Raw genomic sequence first — 20310 nt, forward strand, 5'->3', positions numbered from 1 at the left:
TATTTCTAACTCAATTTCACTTCTTTTGGCACTGGTGATCAATAAAAAGTATAGAGTTGATTATAGAATTTCAAAGTGTTAATTAATAATTAGTAATAAGCAGGGAATGTTAACCTCCCTCTTTTTCAGCAGCCAGGAAACTGGCATTCAGAGATTAACCAAGAAGTTCAGTTTAGAGGAGGAGGATATTTTGCAAACCTTAAAATACAAAATGCCACTGACAGTCAAGAAGCATCTATCTCTATTTAACTCCCATCACAGTCTAGAACAGAAGCTATGTTTTCTTTTTTTTTTTTCCCTCACAGCTGCTGAGAGCAGCCTTAGGTGTACAGTAACTCAGATCTCCTTTTTGTCTGCTTTCATTTCCAGTTTTTTTTTTTTTCTTTTCCTCATCCATTTTCATTCTTTTTTTTGATTCTAGCTAAAAATGTGATCATTTTGCTGTATGATTCCCTGTGATAAATATATTAGTTAGGTAAAGCTAGCTCCTATAACAGATAGATCCCAGTTGCATAATTGATTAAGCAGCTGAGATACACATATTTTTTCTTGTTCGCATATTGATCCCAAGAGTGGGCCTCTTCCCCAAAGAAATTCAGGAAAACAGGCTGACAAACAAGAGCCTTGTCATCTTCTTAAAACACAAAACAAAATAAAAAAGACCTGTCAAAATGTCATAGTCAGCCAGAAGAAGAAGAAAACATAGCAGAGTGGTGTGAAACTTTTTAATGGCTCAACCCCAGGAAATAAACAGCCCCTTTTCCTTACGTTCCTTTGTCATTTAGCCACACAGTCACACTTAATGGAAGAGTAAGATGGGCAATGCAGACCAGCTGTAAAGATAGGTACTGGAGGAAAAGTGTTTTCATAGCTAGCAGTCTCTGCACAAGGAACTTAACATTAAATGCTACTCTTAGTCCATTTAACCCTGTCACAAAAACATCTATATCCCCAAATCTGTATTTTCAGATGACAGAAATGGCCAACATAAAAAGTCTTTCACTTATTTGTATAATCAATATACCAATTTTTAAACTTTGTCAAATAAGCATTTGTATGATTACTTGTTTAGGAGTTCATTAGTTGGATTATCACTTTTCCATACAATGGTATTGCTTTCAGGCACATTTACATCTGAAATAATCAACAACATAGGATATCTTTCAGAGAAAGACTAGAGATTGATGCTTATTGGTTTAATGTCCTTGATTTCTCATACTTTAAGTTCCGTGAGTGCTGGGGTTCGTGCCAATCTTGATCATTCCTGATCCTCAGTATTAAAAATGATGCAGTTTTCATGGAAAGTATTACTAAATAAATATGTACAAGTGTGTGGTGAATGAATACAGAAATACTAGAAATTGATGTAATTTTATCTTAATAGACAAAATTTTAATATCGATAGACTATTTCCTTTTCAAAGGGACATATTTTACCTATCCAGGAAAGCATAATCTTGTTTTTGGAGGCTGATACTTTTTGCTTTGAAAGTTGTATTTGAAAAATTGTTTTCATTAACCTTGGCACGTAGCTTTTGTACTTTTCATTAGATCCTTTATCTACATTTTTAAAGCCTCATACCTCTATTTCCTCTTCATTTTTTTTTAACTAAAGAACAGGAATATTGTGTTTCTAACTGAAAATAACTAAAAGGAATCTAAGAACAAATACGGTAAATGTCTCTCAACAAACAGTTGTACAGTCTCCTGGTTTAGATGGACAGGAGAAAATAATATTCGGATGATTTCCACATGCATATCGGTGTTCTTAAATTTAATGTTGATAGCCTACAGATATTTTATGCAGTATTATTTATGGTAGAATTTCTTAACATAAGAAAAAGGCAATTAATCACAGAAAGGCAATAATTTTCAGCAGTTTAAAGAGGAAGATTCTGTAGTCACCATATGCCAAGCAGAATGCACAAGGAAATGTTTTAATATGTAGATAGTCCAGAAGTGGTTTTCATCTGTAAAAATTATGATGCATCTTATTTAATGCTAAATTTTATTACCTTTTTTGCAAAAATATTATCCTCATGAAACATTTTTATTAGTCTCTTGCAACCAGAAATATTGCTACTGTTTATCTTCCCTAGTTTTTTTTTTAATCCTAAGAATAGCTCTGGAATTAGAAAAATTGTGGTTTTCTTTAAAACTTCAATTTTAATCTTTATTTTACTGAAAGATTATGAAGTCTGCTCTCATAATAGGTCACCTAAATTAAGTTAGACATAACATTATGGGCCACAATTATTTTGAATAATTTTGGTAGTTATTGTTAGGATTGGGAAGCCTATGAAAACACTCGGAAAGTAGCAGAGTGGTAGAGTTGAATTATATTTCAACACCGATAGAACCACTAGGTTCAGTGTAATTAAATTTTCATGATACACATGTATATAGTTAAATCATTGCTAGTCAGTTAAATCTAGAAAATACACATACATGCACACACATAATTTCAGATAGATATATATGTGTACTTACATATGCACACACACACACCCTTATATAATCATGAAGATAAGCCCTTTACTATAGCACTTTTATCATGTGATTTTCATAAACCTACATCAAAAATAAGGAGTGAACAAAATTCAACATTAGAAATAAATGGAATATTTAACATACTTAAGGTGACCATACTGAGCATCTGTGTAGAGCAGTAAGGATTTTTAGTATCTAATGCAAGTTAAAACCCAAATTTCTAAAGCATACTCAATAGGTTTGTCTCATGACATTTACAATTCTTTCAAATCTTTAAATGGGAGTCCATTTACATTTCTGCAAAACAATTTAATTTATCCTACTTTCAAAGCTTTGTGCCCTATTATAGTATAATAATATTACTACTGATATCATCAGTTGTATTAATGCAGGAATTAATACTATAATCACTATATTGGTGATTGGTTCAGGTCTTAAAGACATAGTTCAACAAATTTGCATAGCATTCAACAGATTGTGATGACTATATTGTAGCTTTATAAACTTGAAAATCAAAATCCACTCGGAATGATTTATTAAGATAATCGTTTGTACTCAGAATTTTATAAACTGCTTTTTAAAAATTTGCCTATGCTGAATTTTCTTGTTTTTCTTAGGAATTTTGCTTCCTCCAAATTCAGCTCTATAAAATAGATTTGGTGCTATACTAAGTGCATTTCTGTTTTACAAGATTACTAGAGGTTGATCTTCCATTATTTCAGTTATATACAATCTGATACAATAAACTTACTGATATGAAAAAGGAATTATACTCTCATTTATGAGAAAACTATGCTCCAACCCAGAGATTCTATTCAGATAAATCCACTCATGTCCACATGTTATTAGGTACTAAATTACCTTTAAAATAATTCAGTAATTTGAAAAGTAGAAGATTTTTATTAAAGGATTTTTAGAGCAAAAGAAGAAACATAATTTTAGTACAGGCAACTATTTCTAACACGAATTCATTGATCTAGAAAATTACTTTAATGCACATATCAATATACAAGCCAGTTGCTTTTATTTCAGCAATTAAAAATATCTGTGAATTTCTCTTGGGGGTTATAATGAGAATATATAAGAAATTTTCATAGTAAAACCATAATTATACTTTCATTATTGTTATACTAGTAAAATGAAGTTTTAATTAATAAAATGTTGAAAACAGGGAAAACAAATCACTCATTCTAGGCTTATTATAGTCTTCATTGAGAAAAATACATCTTTAAGTTTTTTTAAATGATAAAACAGACTTAGTAGCCAAATAGTTTAAGAATTGAAAATTAAAACATTGTAAATCTTAAGGAAAATATGACACACAAACTCTCTTACACACACACACACACACACACACACACAGAGTGAAAGAGAGAGAAAGATAATGTTATTTTTATGTCTCCAATTTGTGAATACTACTGAAGTCAAATCACCATTTTCATTTTTAATATTATTTAAAAACCCATACCTGTCATGTCTGGCATAGGAACTTAATAACTTATTATTTGAATGAACAGTTGAATAGAACATCATTTAATGTAAGATCTAGTTTGAAATTCCCATCTTGCCATTCTCTAGCTGTTTACTTTTAGATGTATTACTTATCTTTATTTATGTTGTTGACAATAACATACACCTTGAAATTATTTCTGCTCTTTAATTGTGAGAGAATATATTTTTGTGCACCACAGAAATGTAATATTTCAATATAAGTGTTAAGGCATTTTTGATAAAATATTAGATTTCTAATGCCTTACATAAGTAAATACTCAGTGCTAATTGTTTTTACTTCCCAATCCTGGTGATTATATATATTTTTTGTAAATATTACCAAGTCAAAAGAGAAAAATGAATCCCAGTTACCTCTAGGTATATGGTATTTGCAAAACAGAATAGATGTCTGACACGCCTGAAAGTTCTGCTAAATAATATGACTTAATTTGATATGGTCTTTGAATCACAATTTAATGCATTCCTGTGTATTTGTTCCCCTAGTATAAATCAGGTTATACATTATTTATTCATGTTTCCTTTTAAACCGTTTCAAATTCATTGCTTGTTATATTTCCAGAATGTACATAAATATGCATAGTATTTCTTTCTCTTACTTTCATCTACTTATGCAAATTTTTCATTTTGTATTTCAGCATTATCATTTTCATAAATAAATTTTTTATGACATTCTCATGGTATTCTAATATATCTACTTGTACAGAAAACATTTGCTATGGTTTTTAAAAAATTATTATTATTATTATTATTATTATTTTGAGGTGGAATCTCACTCTGTTGCCCAGGCTGGAGTGTCGTGGCGTGATCTCAGCTCACTGCAGCCTCCGCCTCCCGGGTTCAAGCAATTCTCTTGCCTCAGCCTCTGGAGTAGCTGGAACTACAGGCACATGCCACCATGCCTGGCTAATTTTTTTGTTTTAGTAGAGATGGGGTTTCTACTCATTTGCCAGGCTGGTCTCCAACTCCTAACTTCAGGTGATCAGCCCGCCTTGGGCTCCCAAAGTGCTGGGATTAAAGCATGAGCCACTGCACCTGGCCTGCTATATTTTAAACTCAGGTTTTCATGGTTGGTTCTTCTGCTCTCATGTTTTCCTATATTCCTCTACTATTCTTTTTACCTCTTACTCTTTCTCATTTCAATACACCTGATTTAAAGTAAAATTCGGTTTATGAAGAGATCTTCCACACTGGCATTATTTAATAGAAGCATGTAAACTCAGTCTTCAATAAGTACTTTCTCTCAAATTGTCTAACATGTAGGCAAACCAATTTAAAGAAAAGCTTTTTATGTGTTCCAGTATAGAGCAGTGATAAAAGCCGGTCTGTACCATCAGAAATAATGAACAATTTTCGTGAAGCAAACTCTAATGTCAAAGTGGATGAACTCACAGATATTACCCTTATCTCATTTTAATATGCATAGGTATACAAAATATGCATACGTAGGTGTTATATTGTCTTCAACACCTCGACCAGTGAACAGTACAATCATCCATTATGACTTCTGTGTGAGGGCAAAGAGAGGCGACCTAGGATATTCATATGGGCTGAGCCTAATTTGGCTCCTGCCCTAAATAATGGTAGCATGAGGAAAACATTTGGAAATGTTTAGGGGGAATAAAGATAAAAGCAACATTATTAGTCTGTTTATATTATTTTGGTGTTCAAAAAATTCGCCTGTTGAAAAGCATTATTTACAAATGATGCCATTGTGTTTCCTGTTTCTCAGGAAGATAAAGAAGAATCCATATGTGTATATGTGGATATACACACACATATACACAATTTTAAATAAAAATGCTCATTTTAAAAAATTATTCTGAATATAACTTACATGGTTTGGCTCCGTGTCCCCACCCAAATTTCACCTTGAATTGTAATCCCCATAATCCCCGCATGTCAGGGGAAGGACCACATGGAGGTAATTGAATCATCATGGGAGCAGTTTCTCCCGTGATGTTCTCGTGATAATGCACGAGATCTGATGGATTTATAAACATTTGGCATTTCCCCTGCTTGCACTCACTCCATCCTGCCACTCTGTGAAGAAGGTTTCTCCTTTGCCTTCCACCATGATTGTAAGTTTCCTGAGGCCTCTCAACCATGCAGAACTGTGAGTCAATTAAACCTCTTTCCTTTATAAATCTCCCAGTCTTGGGTATTTCTTCATAGAAATGTGAGAATGGAATAACACAATAATCAACTTATCTTTTATGTATATGAGGTCACACACCTCCTCCTGTTACTTTGCTAACTTGTCACCCTCTCACTTAGCCTCACTCTCCCTTTCTCCTAACACTGCTTTAGTTTCCTTTTACTTCTCTATTATCTCCTCTGACCAAAAAATCTTTGCATAAATTTTAAAGACACACTCTTCATACACTTTATCTTCATTGTGCAACACACAAAGATCTATTGGACTTCAGCAATAAACAAAGAAATCCATCCTGCCAAATGTAAGTGACAGCATATGCTTTCTTTTAAGACAAGGAGACTTAGGACTTGATTAGATTTAATTGATGTTAAATCTAGGGGTGAAATTTTGCTTTAAGCCATTGTCCAAATACAAGAGAGTACTTTACAGTATAATACTTAAGGATAATTCTAAGTATTTTAGGGCCATGAGTCTCTATGGGGCATATTTTTGGTCAAAGGAGAACTTGCATTCTCCTGAGTTAATGATTTTTTTTTTTAATCAATGCAATGACTGTTGCAGTCAGTAGTCAATAAAATAAAGTTTATTTTTACACAACTTTATATTTGTAAAGCTACTCTTTAAAACAATCTTACCATGCCTAAAGCCTCTGCAGTTTTGCGCTGAGCATCTTTTATTATTTCTTATTTTATTATTCTGTTCTCATGCTGCTAATAAACACATGCATGAGACTATGTCATTTATAAAGGAAAGAGGTTTAATTGACTCACAGTTCAGCATGGTCGGGAGGCCTCAGGAAACTTACTATCATGCCAGAATGGGAAGAAAACACATCCTTCTTCACATAGCAACAACAAGGAGAAGTGCAGAGTGAAGAGAGGAATGCCCCTTACAAAACCATCAGATCTTGTGAGAACTCACTATCATGTGGGCAGCATGGGGGTAACCAACCCCATGATTAAACTACCTCCCACCAGGTTCATCCCACAATACGTGGGGATTATGGGAACTACAATTCAAGATGAGATTTGGGTGGGGACACAACCAAGCCATATCACCTATATTTTAAACATTTACAGATACTATATTCCCATCATATGTGTATCACAAATCAGGATGGGAACTGCATATTTGCTAAGATTATTATTCAATGAAAAACTGAGTTTTTATTTGTTTATGTTTTTATTAGGTGCCTTTATCTACTTAGTTATTTTAAATACGAAAGGAGCTAGGTAGGTAGTACAACAGGCAGGCTCACAATGATTGAACTGGTGAAGATATAGATACGAAGGACTAAGTAACATCTAGTGGTCCAATTGGAGTTGATCAATATGATAAAGAAAAAATAAATATTTCTTAAGCTTCCATAACACTTAAGTAATGAATAATAATTTCAGAATAAAGACCACAATTATTTAAGTGAAATCTGAAATGCGAGTTAAAGTGTACACTTGTTTAACTCTCATAATAGTTTTTATTTTTATTTTCATTTGCTTTGTTAATGCTGCCATCAGAAAAATAAGGGTGTGACTAGTAGGCCGACATGTACATTCAAAAAGGGCTGTGCGTACTGGACAGGCAATGATACTACTGACCTTAAAATAGTGTACTTATTCAGAGATGCTTTTCCTGAAGTGAGAAAACACTGGAGCTAGTTCTTCCCACTCTTGTCCTCAATCTTTCTGTTGAATCAAAGCAAACATTCATGAAATAATTGTCTATAGAACAGAGAAAAGTCTACTGGGTCACAATGAACTTTATACAACACCATTGATACTAACTTATATGTCATAAACAATAAAACAAGAAAAAGATTTAAACCCTCTTAAATACCTTTTCTTAAATCCTCTTATGGACAAATTTCTTGAAAACTGTTGGTTACGCTTAGTATCTTCATTTGATCACTTCCCAAAACATTGCCTTCTGCTTTCTCTTTTCATTTTTTCAGTTAGCAAAGTCCCTCAGGCATATGTTGATCAGTCCTCCTGGATATGCTTCTGATCTTTTATAAACCTTATTTTCCTGCAACATTTGAGCTGTGAAAATAATCTTAATTTTTTTCTTGCCTTTAGATATGTGATTCCCTCTAATAATCAACTACTTCAGTGTCCTTCTCCAATAGCTGCTATTTTGATCATGTATCCCTGTATCTGTTCCCTCAGGTAGTCTCTTTCCATACAGACTTTGGGCTTAACCTTGTGACTTGTTTCGGCCAATGAGACAATAACAAACATAAAGCAAGAGGGAATTGGAAAGTGCTTGTTCCTTGGACCATGCTCTTGGGACCCAGGAGCCATGAAATCAAGCCTAGTCACCACCTGTCACCCCAGCTGACGGCCAGCCTATCCCCAGAAGCCAAGTCCCCAAAAGCAGATGGCTGGCAACTAACTGTAGATGCATTAAGAAGCACAGCCAAGATCACAAGAACTGGCCAATGAAGCCCAGTTTAAATTGCTACCTATGAACTTTTCCTTTTGTGTCGGTACTTGCAACTAATTAAGATGGCATCCCCATCTATTCTATCACGTAGCTGGAAAACCAAGGTCATGCTCAATGGTTTCCTTTCCATTCTGTCCTTCATGTAATTGGCCTTTAAGTCTTACTGCTATTTTTAAACTTGAAATTGTTTTAGTACTGAACTATTTTATGAACTTAGCATATATTTGTCATTATCTGATATGAATTTAGGTACTCTCTTTCCTTCCTTTAGGTTCTATATTCTACTTTCTCTTTCATAACACCCTATTTCTGATTGTCTACATGGTGCAAGTTATGCACCAGGCCATGAACACAATGGAGAGTCTATTTCAAATACTTTATTTTATTTGTTACCTAAAGTCTTCTGAAAGCCTTTCATAGTCCTTCTTCTAAGAGAGAATGTAGAAAATGAGAAAATAGTCTATTTTTGAGGGATTTTTAATTATAAAAATTAAATCAGGAATTATATCTGTGGTTGTTTAACTGAGATGTAAAACCTCCATCATCTTGATTCTTTGTTTAACCAAAGACTGTTTGCACAGCTTGCAAATAATACTTCTGTAGGAAATTAAATCTTTATAATGCCTCTGTCTCAGGGCCATGTTTTGCCAGTGTTTTGGAGACCAGACTTTCTATTTTCTTTCACAAAGCTAAGTAATACCCACAGAATCCTTGAAGAAATTTAAAATTAACAATTAGAATACAAGAAAGAAAAACTGTAAAATGTTTGGCATTGGAAATTTATGTGAGTGAGTGTCTTTTCTAAACACACCTACTGTAAATGTTATGCACAGGAAGCATTTTGAAATACTGCCAACATTTTTTAGCCACTTATGCTTTGCTACTTTGCTCAAAACGACATGCCCTTTCCAAAGTAATCATGGAAACAAATGAAAACATGGCTTTTGCCCAGCAGCCACTTAGTGTAGCTTTTGGAGTTGATTGAGTATATAATAGAACATTCTTAATGCTGACTTTATTAAAACAACTTCTATCAATTATTATACTATGTTATTTGTGCTTATGCACTTTGCTATTTCTTTTCATTTGAATTTAATGTGGTTTACTCATAGGAGGTGTTCAATAAATAATGTTAGAATAAATGGAAATTAACAAACATTATATGATCTCTGTTCATTTTTTCTGTAACTTTTTAACTCTTTTGTAAACAGGAAATATATCTACTCTGCTATAATGAATGAAGGAAATATATAGTTTCAGAGGCTAAGAAATACACTCCATTTCTTGCCGAGTGAGATGGCTCATGCCTATAATCTCAGCACTTTGGGAGGCTGAGGCGGGCGGATCACGAGGTCAGGAGATCGAGACCATCCTGGCTAACACAGTGAAACCCCATCTCTACTAAAAATACAAAAATTAGCCTGTAGTCCCAGCTACTTTGGAGGCTGAGGCAGGAGAATCGCTTGAACCCAGGAGGTGGAGGTTTCAGTGAGCCAAGATCGTGCCACTGTACTCCAGCCTGGGCGACAGAATGAGACTCAGTCTCAAAAAAAAAAAAGAAAAAAAAAAGAAAAAAGAAATATACTCCATTTCTTTCGAATCTTTCTTTCTCTCCTTAAATTAATGTATTGCTTAGAGGAGAAAACTTGCTTAGAAACAATACAGAACTTTAGAATACTGAATTTGGATACAGGTAATAAAACCAAGTCTTAGAAAAGTGATAGCCACTCCCCTGTGTCAACGTAATCGAGGGTAGGGAGATTAAAGAAGAGAGAAGGAACAGCTACATTTAATTTAATCATATTGCATTCTTCCAAAAGTACATTTAAAACTCAACTCAGCAAAAATGAGATTCAGTAAACAGTGCAAAACTTAAGTTTTAAGTTATTTTTGTCTTAGAAATTTTTATCAAAACAGGGCCCAATATTAGTACATAAACAAAATGTAAATTTACTCTGGTAATATGCCAGTTGATGATTAGGTAGTTTTTCTATTCATATAAGAAGATAAGTAAGAAATAACCAGTTTTCTTACTTCATATATTCAGACACTTTTTTGTTTTTATCTTGAAACAACCAGCATAACCAAGGATTAGATTTATATACTTAAGATAAAACTCTTATGTAAGAACAGCAGAGTTTATAAGATTTGGTTAAATGAAGTAGCAAATGCACAAAAATAAGCCATTAAAATAGCTTAACAGTCAACTCAAACCACTGATGAGCACTATTTACAGATAAGTGTATGCCTTACTTCTCACCAACACTTCTGCTTCTTATTTGGCATATGTCCAAGTTTCTGCTGTGGTAACATTTGCTCCTGGGAGGAGATGAAGGAAAAAGGGTCCATAAGGTTCCCATTGGTCCAGACAGTAGAAACATCTGCTGGATTCATCAGCAGCTTGCTGGCCCAAGTCAGTAGGGAGAGTTGACGCTTATCAACCCTGCCATATGAGTCCATATTTCCTGTGTCCTGGAGCTACACAAGCTAATTCAAGAAAAAAACGAAAGAAGTGCATTACATGCCAAAATTTCCTCATTACATAAGCATTATATATTTTTAAGTAGCTATCATGGTATTATAAATTATGAGTTTGGTACTGATGAAATTCAAACTGTAACAAACAGCAGAGTTTACTGGATTATCTTATCATTAATTAGGTCGTTTTGATTAATGATGGATTCTAAGCATTTAGAACTTTGCTTAGAGATATTTGACCCTCAAACTTGAGAAGTTGGTTATTGTTTCTCTTTGGTGAGAAAACATTTGTCAGAAAAATATGCACCACTTTTTTTTAAAGTACGATCATCTTTGTAGGTCACTTTAAGATTAGCTGGTCAATGACTTTAACAATGGGACTTGAAATTACAGCCTCAAATGTGAGCTTAATAAATTGTTACTAAATATAACTATTGATCTCTCTCTCACACACACACACATGCGTGCATGCACGCTATCTCACACACACTGCACGCACACACATTTGTCATTTCAAAAGTAATAGTTGTATTCAAAAGTGTATCTTTATTCCCATCTTGCTCCCAATAACCAGAACACTTGGAATTTCCTGCAGTTGTCCTCTGTATCTTTGGCTAATTCTATTCAATGCCCTTAATTTGAAAAATCTGTAGCTTCCGATGATTTATTTATTAAAGTTTTTAGTAACAACTAAGTCACTGGAAGAAAATATGGATCAATTTTTAAAATTATAAACAAGGGATTGCTATGAAGCAATAAGGCTAATTTTTTATTATAACTTCTTTGAAAGAGGAATTTTAGTAATGACAATGCAGTTGAAATTTTTTAATGGACTGATTTTAGAAATACAACACTCAGTTTATATCTAAATTTGAGTAATAAGAATCAGGTATTATTAATATGACAGTGTAGCTGAGAAGAAAGAAAGAGATCTAAATATATTTATCTATCTATCTATCTATCTATCTATCTATCTATCTATCTATCTATCTAACACGTTTGGTTTCACATCTGTTAAAGCATATGAGACTAGCACATTGAAATGAAAATCTATTGTTGCACAAAGTGTACACAGAATTCATGTCATAACTTATTTAGTTCTAATCCGATATGGATTTTTGCATCTATGTTCATCAGAGATATTAGCCTGTAGTTTTTGCCTTTGTGTGTGTGTTTCTGCCTGGTTTTGGTATCAGGGTAATACTGGTCTCATAGGATGAGTTTGGAAGTATTCCCTCCTCCTTGATTTTTTTGAAACAGTTTAAATAGAATTGGCATTAGTTCTTTAAATATTTGTAGAATTTGACAGTGAAGCCGTCAGGCTCTGGGTTTTTCTTCTACAGGAGACTTTTTATTGAGGCTTCTATCTTGTTACTTTTTATTAATCTTTTCAGATTTTGTATTTCTTCATGATTCAATCTTGGTAGGTTGTAGGTGTCTAGGAATCTGTCCATTTCTTCTGCGTTTTCCAATTTATTGGCATATAGTTAACATAATAAACTCTAATGATTCTTTGAATTTCTGTAGTATTAGTTGTAATGTATCATTTTTCATCTCTGATTTCATTTACTTGGGTCTTTTTTCTGTTTTCCTCAATCTGGCTAAAGGTTGGTCAATTTTATCTTTTCAAAAATCCAACTTTACATTTTGTTCATCTTTTATATTTTTTAGTGTCAGATTCATTTATTTCTGCTCCGATCTTTATTATTTCTTTTATGCACTAATTTTGGGTTCAGTTTGTACTTGCTTTTCTACTTCTTTAGGAAATAAGACAAATAAGTACAATTTTAAGCATGAATACTGAGACTAATCTGTTATTGGAATTATTAGAATAGCCTGAACCTCAGCAGATATACTAAGCAGAAATTTGATTTTGTGTTAATCTGAATATTGTAGTTGCGGTGCCCACTTTGCTAGCATAGTAGCACAATTCTAGGTTTCATGGATACAATAATATCCATGAAACACACCAAGCTTTATCCAATACCAAGTTTACCTGAAAGTCATATAAGACAGGTGATACAACAGAATGTCACCAGCTAGCAGAGGCCCTGGGACTCCTTGAAATGCTTCTGAATGTGCATAATAGCCATTTGTACTAAAGATTAGACTGAGTTAGCATGAGCAACCTCAGCTCAGGGAAGCTTCCATCTTTGGAGTCTATTTAAGCATTTTTGTCTTGCTAGTGACACCGGCTATTCGAAATTCTTCCATCAGCTTCCATTTTCTTGTACAACTAAATCTAATCAATACTGATAATTTATTATGCAATAAACAATCTCAACAATAGCCTGCAGGCACTTAGCCTAGTACATAGCAACTTCCTCAGTTCTCATTTATTTTGGATCCAGTACAAATCTATGAATGATTTGAATTGCAAAGATGATTCAACCAAGAGGAAACTGCTCAGGAGTTCCGGATACTAGAGGAAAGGTCAATGATTCGTTATTAGCCCTTTCCTCCCAATATGATAGTGAAGTGACCATTGGCTTTGCTGTGAATGTATTTTTTCCAGGTATCATTTTGCAACTATTCTCCAGAATCTGCATTCATAAATTTAAATAATTAAAGATTTTTACACTTTCACCTTAATTTTTATTGAAGTTTAATAATTTAAATTAAAAACACTTCATTATAATTTTCTAATGAACAGATTAAAAATGTAGTAATCCCAAAAAAGGATACAAAAAAAGTATTAATTCTCAGTTTGCTTTATCAGAAGTATAATTTCTTTAGCAAATTTATCTGTAGAAATCTATACAAAGTACCAAGTTTCATTTTAATATGTTCCCACAACAGTTTCCACTAAACTCTCATAGGGTAATGTTCCCCTAGATCTAATGTGGCACTACAAAGGGCTTGAACATCAAAGCATGCAAACATGGACAAGATGGGTGAAATCAACATTAATGAAATCTTTGTGCATTCAAAAATGATCAAACAGTGGAAAATACATCCTTTTAACCACTGTGTTATTTTACATTGTTTTTAAAAAAGATAGTTTGTTCGTTAGGGAATATTCCAAGTTTATTTCTATGTTACTACATATTGATCAACACTTAAATAATTAAGGTACTATCATTTGAACACAATGTTTATGTGTTCAAAAATATGTGCCCACCATGTCTAAGGCAGTATCTTATGTCTGTCAGAGAATGAAATATTATGTATATGTATACCTCTGCTATCAAGAGCTTTATACGTCTCACATTCATATATCAATGGTTACCTTGGCGATAAAAACTCTGGTTTTGGAAAAGAAAATTATTTCTATGATATTAGTCAAAGGAGAAGTTGTATTTATAAAGTTTATATTTCACAGGGGAAAAACTTAAATTTTGTGTTACTGCATTTTTGTAGTCTGCTGGGAACTTGTTCATTTGAAAGCATAGTATTGTTATTCACTCAAAGAAATATATATTTGAAAAAGAAAACTGTTTTAAATATAATATTTACACCCATAGGTGGATTACCAGAAATATTTTCTTTTCTCCCAAAAAAATATTGCAGTTTATAAGCCAGCAATAAAATAAATGACCAGCATCATTAATAACAAGGAACTTACCAAGCCAATGCCATTTTAGAGTGGAAGTAAAGGACACATTTTTCATCAAAGAGTGAGGAGGATGTGAGCATATAGATAACAATCCTGTTTTATACAAACTCAAGCTAGTAAAAGATGGGTCTCCATTTAATAGGAAGTATTTTGCAGTGTAAAAATTAAAATCACGAAATTGTTACCTCTGTAAATCAATTATCCCAGGATTTAATGGATTCTTTAATATTTTCTCAATGAGGTACTTGATTGTAAACACAATTTTTACAATGATTCATCTTCAAGGTTAAAAATGCTTGACTTAGGGATCATGATTAAGTCATTCCTTGGTGTTGGACAAGGGGTATTGGTTCCAGAACCCTGACTATACCAAAATCCAGGCATACTCAAGTCCCACAGTTGGCTCCGTGAAACCTGCTTATATTAAAAGTTGGCCTTCCATATATGTGGGTTTCTCATCCTGCAAGTACCATATGTTCAGCCTGTATTTGTTTGAAACATATGCCTATATAAATGATCCTGCACAGTTCAAACCCATCTTGTTCAAGGGTCAGCAAATTAGAAAACAGCATTTTCTGATAATGTAAATGAGTCATATCACTTCTTTCAATGTCTTGCCGTTGTGTGTAGAATAAGTGTAAGCTCCTTATTATAACCTAACAAGTCCTGCATGATCTGGCCTTGAACTTCTTTTCTGCCTCATCTTGGGCTATACCATTGTTGTCTGTTGTGTGCCAGTCCTATTGATATTTTTCAGTTCTTTCAACAGCTAACCTATTTCCTGCCTCTAGCTCAGGACTTTTGCATTAGCTGATTTACTTTTTGGAATACTGGCCCTGGTGTCTAACATTCTTGACCTCAGGCTATTTTTAAATGGCTGACTGTTTCTCGCCATTTAACTAAGTCTTTATTTATGTGTGCTTTTTTGTTTTACTTTCCTTAGGCTGTTAGTTCTGGTGGGCAAGAATCATTTCTAGCTGTTCACAGTTGTTTTCCCAACACATACTATGGGAATCCTGTTCTGGTATAAAACATACATTTGTTGAATAAACTAATGTCATTGAGGTATATTTTATCAGTAAAATCCACTAAAAATGTAAAAGCAATTTCAGGAAACATTGTTATATTTATAGTTCATATCAATAATATAAACTGAAATTATACACTATTAAGTGACATATGCATATGTTGGATATCACTTTCTCTTACACATATTTTATATCTATGCCATTTTGAAATTTCTTATTACATTCCGTAATTTAACGAGTTAGAATCCAAACATCTATGTAGCTATTTTACATAAATAACTTTATTTAGTGCACCAATGCAATTATTTTAATTTTTTACAGAGAAGAATACAGAAAAAGAATATTAATGTAGAAGCAATTTAGATAATAATCAATATAATTTTATGCTTCCAGAGTATGCATATAACAGGTGCAATCCAAAATAAAAATAACGTCAAAATATACATACAGTAAGTCAAATAACTAGCAACAATAAGTCAGGAAACAATTGATTTGAGTTTGAATAATTTTTTTTTTTCATTTGGAATTAGGAAAAACCAGCATGAAAACCAGACTGAAGTCCTAGTATCTTCTCAATTCATAACTTTCCTTATAATCTTTATCGTATTTGGCTAGTCATATTTTCTATATTCACATATTTGAAAAAATTCTGTATTTGAAATAAGGTTTTTAATGATACTTGCCTTTCATAGATTTTTGTCATTTCATTTGCTTCTAGAAATGTTATTAGGAATTTCAATTTTTATTGAACTTATGTAATTTTTAAAATATATTATAATTCAGTATTATTAGTGACTTTCTTTACTATATCAACCTTCTAAGACCTACTGGATGAAATAAATATATACACACATCATTTCCCTTTTTTGAGCCTCAGATTGAAGTTTTTCCCAGGGACTTCAATTTTAAACAGTTATGTCCCACCCAGTCAATTGCCTCCAGAAAATTGATTATTGTATGCTCAGCACTATATTCCTCACCCTCTCTCCAGAAGAGTCCTACCATCTGTGTGTTCCTTTGCAGGATATTTCCTCCAGTTTGACATCTCAATTTAGAATTTAGTAACATGATTGAGCTTCACTATGAACCAGACTGTGATTGTGGTCATAAATTTCTTTTCTCTGGAAGGCTGCCTCTCAAATGTTCATCAGTTAGCAAGTAAAGCTAGTCAGTTCTAGATCTTACTCATTCAACCTGAAAATAATATTCTAGAAAGATAAAATAACTTTATGTATACATAATAATTACCATGTAAGCCTGTTTTAAAATCACAGAAATCATTTTAAAACCCTCTTATTCTTTTATATTGCCTTGAGAGACATACAATTTTCTTTTCATTTTGAAATTCTTTCATTTGCTTTGGATTCTTTCACATTACAATATTTGAAGATACATTTGTAGAGGAACAAAAGTAGCCTGGTGAATATAAATGAGAACAACTCATCAAGTTCACTTTTTCCTTGAAAAATCATGTGTTCATTGAATAAACTATGGTTTGAATTTTTGAGAAAACACTGAACATTTTATGGAGTGAATTAAATATGGATAAATTAATAAAAACAAAATATATTTTAAAGTCTTCATTACAAAAATCTATTTTTGTTATGAAGCCATATATTCGTATTTATTCTATTTGACTAATTGCATGGTGTGTAAACAAGTTTGTGTTCATTTTGCATTTTGGCAGGGTAATAAGCAGAAAAGCTAAGAATAGAAAGAATTGACTTTGTACACATACAAGTCAAAAAAGTGTTGAGAACTTTAAAAATCTGATAATGTTTTAAGACATGCTAAAGCAATGCAGCCACTGGGTAAGAACATAAAGCATCCTTTAAATAAAGTTTCCTAGGATTTTCTAAGTGCTCTCTGAAGTTTGGGATATTGTAAATTAAGAAAAACTTTAGTGATATGGCCGAGTAAAACAAAACTAATGGGAGAAATTAGAAAAATGTATTTTATATAGAAATAATAACTGTGCTGGGAATATTAAAGAAAGCTGAGATATCACAATCATGCAAAACATTTTTGAAATGGAGGGGAAGACAATGATGTTATGTTTCACCTACATTACAAATTTCTCCACAGCTGGCTTTGATCCTGATAATCAAGAATTTATTCCAAATATAAGTCCTGTCATAGACACAGCACATGGTAGCTAGTTCTGGTATAATGTTATGTGTTATCTGGGTCACCTACTCACAGGTACTGTATAGGTAAACTGGAAACAATCCAGGGGTTATCCCATAAGTTCCCTGGTCTGCTATGAGCAGCCTAGAAAACTATTATCACATTCTGGAAAAAAGAGAGGTAAAATTTCTACAGGAGAATTATAATTCTCTGGGTCAGGAGCTGTGGGAGCCACTGTAAATCTGAAGGAGCCTTTTGTCATGGATCAGAAGCCAACAAAGAACTAGGGCCAAGCTTTGGGTACACAAGAGTTTCTGCTCCCAGAGTTGGTAGCAGAATGGGCTGCTCACAATGGCCATAGTGAACGCTAGGATTCGGTCTACGGGATTGTAAGGGCTGAAGCTGCCAATCTGGCACTGTTACACTCTGATATCAGGAGGCGAAAGCCCTTCCAACCTTTTCTGGCCTTGCAAGACCCAGCTGCCAGCCAGCTTTGTTTCTTCCCTGCCTTGGTCTGGCAGTTGCAATGGAATACAGGTCTCCAAAGTACTTCCTGTCTCTGTGGAAACTGGCAAGCGGCACCAGACTGATGGCCATGCTCCACAGTGGCTGGGCAGAATGGTGGCACAGAAGGTGGATACCAGGTGTTGTACTCTAAAAGGCAGGCTGAATTCAAATGGATGAGGTAGAATCAAAGAAAAATAAAATATTATGTGGTTGCCTAGGACAGCAGACAACTTAAAGTCTTTCAGACAAACCTAAAAGCTGCAATAAAATGATTTTTAAAAATGACTACAGAATTCTAAGTATTTGAAAGAACAGAGGGGCATTCCAAAAGTGGAAACATTTTGCACTTAGTTATCAGTCTTAGTTTTTCCTCTAATTTCCTATCTCACATGATAGAGCATTCATTGCACTTCTCTGGAGAATTATAAGCCGGCCTTAATGACATTTGTGCTTTTCAGTCCAGTAGGCTTTAGAATGCAATATGTGCTTCAGTCCACACAACTACTGAGCCACAACTTTCACATTAGAAGGTTATTTGTTTAGAATGCCTTCAGTAATTTAGTGGAAGTAATAGCATGCTATGTGTGCATTTAGATATATTTTTAGACTCTAATTTAGGCAACAAGAATGATCTTGAACTTTCTAAGACACAGGTTCTTTGTATAAATACCCCTTACCAGTTGATGGAACAGATGACGGAGAGAGGGGTGGGGAGGGAGAGAGAGAGAGAGAGAGAGAAAGAGAGAGAGAGAGAGAGAGAGAGAGAGAAAAGAAAGAGAGACAGAGAGAGAGAAAACAAAAAAAAACTGAAAATAGTTGAGGGGAAAAACTTAAAGAATAGTAGGCTAGCATTGTACTTCATTTAAACATGTGTTGCCTCTTTCATCATTCCTTGTTGAGTTTTTGTTGTTGTTGTTTGTTTGTTTGTTTGTTTTTGAGACAGACTCTCACTTTGTCACCCAGGCTGGAGTACAGTGGCACGAACTTGGCTCACTGCAAGCTCCACCTCCTGGGTTCACGCCATTCTCCTGCCTCAGCCTCCCGAGTAGCTGGGACTACAGGCGCCCTCCACACACCTGGCTAATTTTTTCTACTTTTTAGTAGATACAGGGTTTCACCATGTTAGCCAGGATGGTCTCGATCTCCTGACCTTGTGATCCGCCCACCTCGGCCTCCCAAAGTGCTGGGATTACAGGCATAAGCCACCGCGCCTGGCCAGTTGAGTGTTATGTTTAAGAATTGTTAACTTATTTTGTATCTCCTGATCCATTTAGCATTTGTGTTTTCACAACCAAGTTATAAGAGGACCTTAATATAAGAACAGTATTTTTGTTAAATGAGGTTCTTGAGAGAACAAAAAAATATTTTAAAAACAACCAAAACATGATGTATGCTATTTGATTCAGGTGTCTATGTCTCTGTTGAATTAACTAATTTTGTAGATTAAGTTGACAGTTTTCACTAAGGACAAATATATGCCAAAATGAAGGGTCAAAATACTTGATATTGTTTATCTTATGAGACTTTTATACTTTATTATTGAAAAATTGTGTCTTAAATATTCTTAACATCTTGTTTTTTGTTTGTTCCTCTTCACTGTTTTAAATCTGGTTCTTCCTTCAAAAAAGTTTTGCTTATTTTTAGGAACTAAAGAATAGTGAGAGGACTTAAGTTCCTCTTAAATAGCTCACAAAATTTGATCATTGACCCTCCAAAACTACCAACTAACTCACTTCCTCTCAAACATGCAAAGCCTCAACCTCTGCCTGTCTCTCTAGGTATATCTCGGGTGATTATTGCTCTTAGAGAGCAAGCACTCATGTGCAGTGTGCACTGATCCACTGCTATGGCCACATTTAATCTTTAGCACAGGAAGAGAGATGGAGAAAACCATTGCCACCACTCATCATCCAATCAAGAGATAGCAAGGCTTGAATGATGTTATTTTCGAAAGCAGAGTGATGCTTTGGGATCAGTGTTAAAACATGCATCATCCTAGTCTCTTTCAACAATACTTAT

The 20310-nt window shown here is 33.8% G+C and overlaps 1 protein-coding gene across 17 annotated transcripts in view; it reads left to right on the plus strand.

The window, feature by feature from the left end:
* Positions 1–20310, plus strand: part of CADM2 (cell adhesion molecule 2) — a 1115441-nt gene that overhangs the window by 813526 nt on the left and 281605 nt on the right. The gene's annotated exons all lie outside the window — the stretch shown is intronic.

Source organism: Homo sapiens, chromosome 3, assembly GCF_000001405.40.
Source record: "Homo sapiens chromosome 3, GRCh38.p14 Primary Assembly".
Taxonomy (NCBI): Eukaryota; Metazoa; Chordata; class Mammalia; order Primates; family Hominidae; genus Homo; species Homo sapiens.